We start from the raw sequence: 10148 nt of genomic DNA, 5'->3' as shown, positions 1-10148 counted from the left end.
ACCCACACAGGACCTGTTCGAGCTGGACAGCCCAGCCAGGGAGGGAGCAGGAGGGGAGTCATTCTGGGTCCACGATGATGGGCCCCCTGTGGGTCAGCCTCTTCCTCTCCTCCCTTCTCCCTTGAAATCTGGTTTCTGCTTTGTGCCTTGGGCCTCCTTGGACATCACTCCCTCTCGGCCACTGTCTACGCATTGGCCCTCTCGGAGGCACAGTCCTAGGCCAGGCTCCTTCTCTCTGCTTCGCTGCCCCGGGGATTGGTCCCACTCATCTTTGCACGCCACACCCCTGCACGTGGATTGGCTGCCCTCCAGGGGTGTGTCTACCTTGGACCAATCATGTGGGGCTGTGGGGGGTGTGGTCACACGGCCTTCTTAGAGCCGCCCCTAGTTGGGGCTGGGGGTGTGGCCGACATAATGGGACAGACTCCCAACCCAGTGCTAGTGGGTACCAAGAAACCCTTGCGGACTGAGAGGGTGAAGGGAGGTCACGCTGAGGTATATGCCCCAGTGTAGTACCATGTGCCACGGGGCTGCGGGATCTTGGGCAAGTCACTCTGCCTCTCCACACCTTCATTTCTTGCTCTGTAAAACGGGCTCAAAACCGTCTCCATCTCATAAGGTTGAAGTAAAAGATTGAATGAGGTTGATGTGATTATCACGCATTGCATGCCTGTATCAAAACATCTCATGTACCCCATAAATATATACACCTACTATGAACCCAAAAAATTGCAAATTAAAAAAGGAGATTAGACCACGCGTGGTGGCTCATGCCTATAATCTCAGCACTTTGGGAGACCAAGGCAGGTGGATCACCTGAGGTCAGGAGTTCAAATTAGCCAGGCGTGGTGACGCATGCCTGTAATCCCAACTACTTGGGAGGCTGAGGCAGGAGAATCGCTTGAACCAGGAGGTGGAGGTTGCAGCGAGCCAACATCGCGTCACTGCACTCCAGCGTCGGCAACAAGAGCGAAACTCCGTCACACACACACACACACACACACACACACACACACACTGCACTCCAGCATCGGCAACAAGAGTGAAACTCCGTCACACACACACACACACACACACACACACACACACAGAGAGAGAGAGATAAGATTCAATGAGGAAATTCAAGCAATTATGCCTGAGCATAGGAAAGGCTTGGCAAATGCTGGCTCCTCATCATTCTTATTACAAACGACAGCAACATTATTTATTATTATGTTTGGAAAGACTGGCCTGATGCCTTTCACCTCTTCAGCAGCCTCCAAGGACCCTCTCAGTTCTTGGGTCCTGAGCCTTTTTGCAGCCTCCTCAGGGCTCTGCCAAATAAAGGATATGAGGACGGGGGATAGGGAGGTGGAGGCTGGCTGGAGGGAGGATGGTGAAAGCTGTGATTATCGCCTGCCCGCCGCTGGCTCAGCAGAAGAGAAAACACTTGCCCGGCACACCTAGCAATTATCCACAGTGACGATGGCAGTGGCGCTAGATGCTGTCGGCGGGTGGGGAAGGGGCTGGGGGGATTCTTCCCTCTTTGGAGAGAGCATTGGGGGAGGGAGTCTTTTTGGAAGGTGCCTGGTCCAGTCTTCTCCCTGCCCAAACCCTTCTAGATCCCTACAGTTCTTAGAATAAAGATCAAACGCTCCTGCTGGCCTCCAAAGCCCGGTCTAGACTGTCCCTTGCCACCTTCAGGTCTCCACCACTCTGCTGCATTCTCTGTGCTCCAGACACCCTGGCTCTCTGCCAAGCTCTTTTTCAACTCATGGTATTTGCAAGGGTTGTTCCCCCGCCTGGAAAGCTGTTCCCTCTGTCCCCTGCTTGGCTAACTCCTACTGGGGGTTCCTCCTTAAATGTCACTACCTAAGTCACCTTAAATGGGCCTTCTCTGACATCCCGTCCAAATGACATCCTCTAGGGCTTCCTACTGCATAGGCCAGGGTTCCTCAAAGCCTGCGATTAGGTCCACACTCAGGAACACCTGCGGGGTGGTAATGGGCTTTGGAAGCACCCAGTTTTCTCGGGGAGGCAGGCATGACCTGAAGGGTTAGGGGCAAGTGGGACTTCTCCTGGCCGAGCCACTGCACCGTTACTGCTCTATAGATCTGACTTCCAGCTGCCAGCCTCCTGTCAACCAAAGGGTGAAGTTTTCCTAATGAGGATCCTTTTTATGCACTCAGGCTGGAGCTCATGTAGGAGCTAATTAATTTTAGGTTCCACATGAACGCAACAGCTGAAAATTAGCACTTGCAGAAAGCCAGTCCCAGCCATTCCCCTAAATTGCAGGGGGGGCCTGGAAGCCAGAGGTGCTGACAGCTCCTGGCAGGAGAGCACCAACCTTAGCTGCTTCTTCTCCACCCCTCCCAGGCAAGGCCTCCCTGGACCAGCCTTTCCCTCAGGGCTCAGGACCACAGGGAGGGTGCACAGGAGAGAGGCCACAGGCGCCCCCAGCCTCCAGCCAGGGTCCCTTGGGCTCACAGCCCTTGAAGGGTCCCTGGAGATGTGCTGTCTTAGGTGATCTCTGCCCTCAGCTTGCTGCAGCTCTGCTCCTGAACTAGACTGGGCTCCCTGGCGGCAGGGCCCAGGTCACTCCTATCTCTAGTTATCCAGCAGCTTCCAAATTAGTCTCATTTCATAAGTCACCCCTGCCTCCAGGAGTGTAGGGGAAACTGCTGCAAATGTTGGGCAAAGCCTGGATCCCCGACTTCCCCTCCCAGTCGGGTGACCTGTAAGCCTGTCACCAGGGTCCTGAGTATCCCTGTCAAATGGGGGTGATGCCGCCCACTCCCAGGGCTGTGAGGCTCAGGCGAGATCATCATGGCAACTGTGACGGTGATGGCAGTGTTCACTCATTGTCAGTGGCATTGCATGAACTTGACACGCCTTGTGCTCTTCTGACGGCCACACAAATCCAGACAACACTGGAGAAATCTTTCCTTTGAGCAAACTGAGCCTGTACCTCAGAGCCAGACTGGGTTTTGCATGGAAGGCTTGCAAAGTGCCCCAGCTTCAGGTCTCACGGAGCTGGGAGCAAATCCCAGCTTCAGCTTCTCTTCCTGACTCCAACGCTTCAAATGACATGTCTATAAAATAAGGCGAATATAGGTCCCAAGTCCCTTCTCCAGAAGCCTCAAGGCCAGATGTCTACTAGAAATTCAAGTTGTGTGGCTCTCAGACAGGTCACATGGCACTTATACCATCTATTACATAACAACCCCCAGGGGCCGGGATAGCACTTCCTAATCAAACATCCATATCTCCCAGTGTGATGTGTGCATATTGACTCCAAGGGATCAATAAAGATCACAAATAGCCTTGTGTCGAATCACATCTGGCTGTGCTGCCAAGCTTAGGAAAACGTTCTCAATGTTTAGAGCACGGTGCATTTGGAAGTGAGGATAAGGGCTGCGGTGAGGCTTAAAGGCGCTCGTGTGCTTAGCAGCGAGCCTGGCTGGCAGAAACTGCTCCTGCTACCACCATTAATTTTCTGGGTGCAATGACAAACAAGGCAGCATTTGACAGAAAATGTCAGCTCCTGCTGTGACCAACCCCCACCACCCTCCCCTGGCAGCAGAATCTTGGGAGGCTCTACTGGCACCCAAAGTCCAATCACCCTTAGAAGTCAGATGGTGACCCTATCCTTTCTGGACTCACAGAACCTTCTCACAAAGAGGATTTGAGCCAAAACATTATAACGTTTCCCCCAGTCTTCCTCCCAGGAAGAGTAGCAGTGACCTGACTTCTTCATTTTTCTCACCCCTCCCGCCAGGGCAGAGAAAACCCCATCAGAGCCACAGCTCTGATCCTACTTCCCCAGAAAGCTCTGGGCAGCCAGCCGCAGCTGCTCACAGGAAGAGACACTCCTCGGCAGTGGCAGCTCCCTCCCCGTGCCAGGACCCTGGCTGCCTACGATGAGGGTGGGCAGGAGGCAGCCTCGTCTTTCAGAAGGGCAGAGACGCCCACTGAGAACTGAGCATCATTTAAAAAGGAGCAACCCATTAAAAAGATCCTAAGAAGGACCCACGCATTTGATCAGTGCCCCACTCAGGGCCCTGGAGCCTGCTATCATCCTTCAGAGAAGTGAGGGTGGGATCTGCTTCTGCATGAAGGCCTCATTCAAGCCACTCCAGCAGAGAACCCTCCAGAGACTGGCCTCCGATTCCGAGCACGTGCCGAGCTGGCAGGCGCAAGCAGGCACACAGATTAAAACTCCCTATGGTTTGCACAACTGAGCTCTTGTCTTAGCTTTCGAACAGTGTTATTTTAGGAAGGTTCCCAAACAAGCGAGGCTTTCTGAAAGCCGGCCCTCCTTAAGGCGGTCTTTGTTTTTAGCTCAAACTCTACTGGTTCTGGTCCCATCCCAGGGACCAAAGTCCTTAAGGCTTCTCTCTTCCTCATAAGAAGGATATGTTGGATGTTCATTTAGGAAGTTCGACAGCCGGAAGGAAGCCGGGTGCCCCCAGGAGTTCTTGCCCAGGAAGCCCTGTCCAGTCCAGCCTGCCAGGTCTCCCGCAAAACGCAGCTTCTAACCCAGGCTGCCTCCCTCCCACGCACACCAAGGGGAACCAGCATCTGTCACTCCAGTTTCTCTAGAGGTTAGGGATCTCCCCAGTTGCTTTGACCAATAGGAGACAAGAGTTTGGGATCATTTCTTCTCCCTCCCACCGCCCATACACATGCTCCACATAAGAATTTTCAGGCAGCCTCTGAAGTCATCCCAGGAGACAGAACAAAGGCTGTGCTTCTCCTGCGCTCTCCTGTGCACAGCCTCCCCCACTCCCCTTTTCCCTCACTCCAACTTTCCAGGGTGGCACCCTAACACAGATCTACCAGGAAGCAGCTACCCGGTGAGCTCTGAGCTGAGGCAGGAAGTCTCCTCTCTCTCTCTCTCTCTCTCTCTCTCTCTCTCTCGCTCTCTCTCTCTCGCTCTCTCTCTCTCTCTTGCTCTCTCTCTCTCAACTACTCTAGGATAACCTATAAGAGGGAACCGACATCAACTGCTCTTTCTCAAAATCCTGCTCACCAAGGTGACAGTCAACATATCCAGCACTCCGTTCTGCATGGACATCTGCCAATCAGAGAGTCGCTGTGACATAAGGGACAGTCCACAAGTTCACCCTCACTTCTGACACCAGCTGAGGGTTTGGAGGTTCCCAAGACCATGCTTCGTTTTCAAAATTTGATGGAAGGACTCACAGAACTCACTGAAAGCTGCTATGCTCACAGTGAGCTTATGAAAGGGACAGATTAGACTCTGCTGAGGGAGGAGGTACATGGGGCAGAGTTCAGGAAAGTTCCAGACACGGGGCTTCCCGTTGTCTTCTCCCCATGGGGTCATGGACAGTGTTACTTCCTGTGACATGGGGTTTTGTCAACTAGGGAAGCTCGCCCAAGCTTTGGCATTCAGCTCAGGATCTTCTCTGGGGCCTCTACCGTCAATCATCTACCTGGGAGACCCCAGTCAAAAGCTTCCCCCAGACATCCAGCTGATACCGTGTTACCGTGTGACTCAAACTGCCCACCTCAAATCACCTTGTTAGACTTGCTGGTCTGGCCCAAAGCCTGCAGGGAGAAGACACTCTTTGGCAGGACATTCCAAGGACCTAGAGGTCACCTCCCAGGAGTTGAAAGCAAAGACCTGAACTCTTTTTTGGGCAAGGCAAAATTCTTTTCTACAACCAACCAATCAACCAACCGGCACAGCCACATCCACGTGTGCTGCTGGCCATCATTCCGTGGGTCTGTGGAATCTTCCAGAAGTTGTCAGGAGCAGCGGCTACATCCACAGGTGCTGTCCAGGGTCCCCCAACATTGTGCACCCCATCTTTCTTCTGCTGCCCTGTCCACTCTGGCCGGCTCTTCAATCCTGTGTCCTCCCGTATGTCTGGCCCAGCCTCCACGTGGAGCGACTGCATTGCGGACTGGCCGGCACAATCGCAGATTTCTTTGGGGATGTGGTGTCCAATAGCCTAGGGCAGACAGGCAACCTCCTGGGCCGTCTTCATTCAGAGAGCAGCTTCCACATGGAAATCCCGGGCCACAATATCTCAGTATTGTATTTGTGTTTTTAGTAGAGACGGGGTTTCACTCTGCTGCCCAGGCTGGTCTCAAACTCCTGAGCAGCAATGTAGCCATGTGACTGCTGCTTATTCCCCAAAAAGACCAACAGAACCATTGCTCCGAGGCAAGGCGGAGCTGACTACCTCCTGCCAGCTACTGCTTAAGGATCTGGGTCAGGTCCCAGGAGAGGAGGGCAGGGCTAACACTTACAGGGCTTGGGGGTCTGGGCTGGAGGAGTTCAAAGCAGGCCTTTCAATATGGAGATTGGCAAAGGTTTTTTGTTTTGTTTTTTTCTCTTAGAATTTTTAAGAATTGGCCGGGCACAGTGGCTCATGCCTGTAATCCCAGCGCTTTGGAAGGCCAAGGCGGCGGATCACCTGAGGTCAGGATTTCAACAACAGCCTGGCCAACAATGGTGAAACCCTGTCTCTACTGAAAATACAAAAATTAGCCGGGTGTGGTGGTGGGCACCTGTAATCCAAGCTACTCGGGAGGTTGAGGCAGGAGAATTGCTTGAACCCGGGAGGCAGAGGTTGCAGTGAGCCAAGACGGCACCACGGCACTCCAGCCTGGGTGCCAGATTGAGACTCCATCTCAAAAAAATAAAAATAAAAATAAAGAATTTTTTTAAATTGTGGTAATATATATATATATAACATAAAAGATACCGTTTTAACCACTTTTAAGTGTACAGTTCAGTGACATTAAGTACGTTCACATTGAGGCCAGGTGCAGTGGCTCACGCCTGTAATGCCAGCCTTTGGGAGACCAAGGCGGGTGGATCATGAGGTCAAGAGATCAAGACCATCCTGGCCAACATGGTGAAACCCCGTCTCTACTAAAAATACAAAAATTAGCTGGGTGTGGTGGCGTGTACCCATAGTCCCAGCTACTCAGGAGGCTGAGGCAGGAGAATCGCTTGAACCTGGGAGGTGGAGGTTGCAGTGAGCCGAGATTGCGCCACTGCACTCCAGCCTGGTTAAAGAGCGAGACTCCGTCTCAAAACAAAACAAAACAAAAAAGTACATTCACATTGTGCAAACATCATCACCCTCAACTTTTTCAGTTTCCTCAAGCTGAGGGACCTCTGTCTCTGTAAAGCAATGCCCCCTCTACCCTCTCCCTCCAGCCCCTGGAAATCACTATTCTACTTTCTGACTCAATGCATTTGACCACTTTGGGTACCTCCTACAAGTGGGATCATACAGGACTTGTTCTTATGTTACTGGCTCAGTTCACTTAGCACAATGTCCTCAAGGTTTGTCCACCCTGTAGCCTGTGTTGGAATCTCCTTCCTTTTCAAGGCTGAATAATATTCCATTGGATGGATGGACCACTTTTTGTTTACCCACCCATCCCTCAACAGACACTCATTTGTTTCTGCCTCTTAGCTATTGTGAATAATGCTGCTGTGAACCCAGATGTACCAGTATCTGTTGGTGCATGCCTGCTTTCACTTCTTTTGTGTATATATACCTGGAAGTGGAATTGCTGGACCAAATGGTAATTCTGTTTCTTTTTTTGACACAGGTTTTGATATACAACAGCTTAGGATGGGTAGACTCAGTGCCAAGGGTAAGTCTTAAAGTGAGTCCCATTTGATAATGAGCAGTTACCCCATTGAGGGACCCACCGACCTGAGAGGCTGGTCCCCATGGGCACTCACTGTCCTGTGAAGGGGACAGTTCGAGCAACCCACTGCAGAGATAATTTGATTTAAAAAAATTTTTTTTTAGACAGAATCTCGCTCTGTCGCCAGGCTGGAGTGATCTCGGCTCACTGCAACCTCCACCTCCCAGGTTCAAGCGATTCTCGTGCTTCAGCCTCCCAAGTAGCTGGGACCATGGGTACCAACACCACGCCCAGCTTATTTTTGTATTTTTAGTAGAAACGGGGTTTCATCATGTTGACCAGGCTGGTCTCAAACTCCTGACCTCAAGCAATCCACCTGCCTCGGCCTGCCAAAGTGCTGGGATTACAGGCATGAGCCACTGCACCTGGCTGATAACTTGATTTTTATACATCATCCTGTGGCTTTTGGTATTCATGTTATTGTGTCATGCCCACCCCTCAAGTGTGGGTGGCACCATGACTTGCTTATAAAGGACAGGCTAGAGACTGAGGCAGGAGGATCTCTTCAAGACAGGAGTTCAAGACCAGCCTGGGTAACATAAAGAAATCCCGTCTCTACAAAAAATACAAAAATTAGCTGGGCATGGTGATACACACCTGTAGTCCCCGTTATTCAGGAGGCTGAGGCCAGAGGATTGCTTGAGGCCAGGTGTTCTAGGTCCCAATGAGCTGTGATCGTGCCATTGCACTCCAGCCTGGACAACAGAGCAAAACCCTGTCTCAAAAAGGATAGGCCGGGCACAGTGGCTCAAGCCTGTAATCCCAGCACTTTGGGAGGCTGAAGGGGTTGGATTTCCTGAGCTCAGGAGTTTGAGACCAGCCTGGACAACATAGTGAAACCCTGTCTCTACTAAAAATACAAAAAAATTAGCCAGGTGTGGTGGCGCCCACCTGTGGTGCCATCTGCTCAGGAGGCTGAGGTGGGAGGATTGCTTGAGCCTGGGAGGCAGAGGTTGCAGTGAGCCAAAATCATGCCACTGAACTCCAGCTGGGCAACAGAGCCTGACCCCATCTCAATCAATCAATCAATCAATCGATCAATCATTTTGAAAAGGATAGACTACAGCGAAAACAGTGTCCAGAGCAAACAAGGAAGCAAGTCGCTGATTTACAGTCTCATCTTCCTGGACCAGAATCTCCTAAGACAAAGGGTTACAGCATGTTGATGAGTGGTCTTAGTTCTGAGTGCTGAGAGTTAAGCTACCTGGATGCAGGTGGAGTCGGCTCCTGTTCCCCTCCTTCCAAGCCAAAGTGATGGCAGCCCCTGTTCTGCCCCAGACCTGCTCCTGCCCCTGGCCTGTACTGGGGCATCGGAAGCTTCTGCAGTCAAATGCTCTACTGCAGAGCTATCTCCCAATCCAAAGCTTCCAGATGGAGCCAGGGGCTGATCTGACTCAGGGCCTCCGCCACAGTGAACGGGGTGGCGGGGGTGGGGGGACCTTGGAGTCTGCAGCCTCAGGGTCACTTCGGGCTCCACCCCTTACTACTGAGGACCACAGATCGTACTTTCCAACTGGCTGTGACAGCTTTTCCTGTCCATGTGCTCCTCTAGAGCCACACTGTCCAATACGGCAGCTGCCAGCCACATGTGGCTATGTAAAGTCAAATTAATTTAATAAAATGTACAATTCCATTCTCAGTGGCACTCGCCACATCTCAAGGACTCAGCAGGCACGTGTGGTTGGTGGCTACTGTGTTGGACGCCTCCCCTAACCGCAGTCCCCTTGTCCAAATACAGTGGCAGGAGAGACACCCCCATGCCCGGACATATTATTGCTTTGTTTGTTGATTCTTTTTTTTTTTTTTTTTTTTGAGACGGAGTTTCACTCTTGTTGCCCAGGCTGGAGTGCAATGGCGTGATCTTGGCTCACTGCAACCTCTGCCACCCAGGTTCAAGTGATTCTCGTGCCTCAGCCTCCCAAGTAGCTGGGATTATGGTGCCCGCCACCACATCTGGCTAATTTTTGTATTTTTAGTAGAGATGGGGTTTCACCACATTGCCCAGGCTGGTCTCGAACTCCTGACCTCAAGTGAACTGGTCTCAAACTCCTGACCTCCTCCCAAAGTGCTGGGATTATAGGCGTGAGCCACCGCGCCCCAGCTTGTTTGTTGATTTACTGTCTGTCTTCCCCACTAGAACGTGAGCTCTGTGAGGGCAAGGGCTTTTGTTCACTGTTGTGTTCCCAGCCCTCATAGCAAAGCCTGGCACACAGTAAGTATGCAAAAAAATCATTGTTGAATGAATGATTGAATCCACAGGATGCATGAATGAGGACAGTAGCATCTGGAGGCTTCTGGGGGAAGAGGGAAGGGGTTGCGCAGCCCTGTGTCTCAACCTCAGAGCACCTTAGACTCCTGGAAGCCCCAGAGAAGGACCCGGCCTAGGAGAAGCCCCAGCCACAGTGCTGGTTTGGCACAAAGACCCGGGAGGGTGAGGACTTTGGGCAGTTCCTCTAAGAGGCTGACTC

At 51.9% G+C, this 10148-nt stretch overlaps 1 annotated feature.

Annotated features, from left to right (window-relative positions):
* Window positions 6956–7153: a silencer, noted in NCBI's record as "fragment chr14:101081529-101081726 (GRCh37/hg19 assembly coordinates)". NCBI's record gives its function as "represses an EF-1alpha promoter that drives an FKBP-Casp9 reporter gene in an ReSE screen in HepG2 liver carcinoma cells {active_cell/tissue: HepG2}" and the evidence as "EXISTENCE:reporter gene assay evidence [ECO:0000049][PMID:32094911]".

The sequence above is a fragment of the Homo sapiens genome, chromosome 14 (genome assembly GCF_000001405.40).
Source record: "Homo sapiens chromosome 14, GRCh38.p14 Primary Assembly".
NCBI lineage: Eukaryota > Metazoa > Chordata > Mammalia > Primates > Hominidae > Homo > Homo sapiens.
This window is presented reverse-complemented; position numbering and strand designations above follow the sequence as displayed.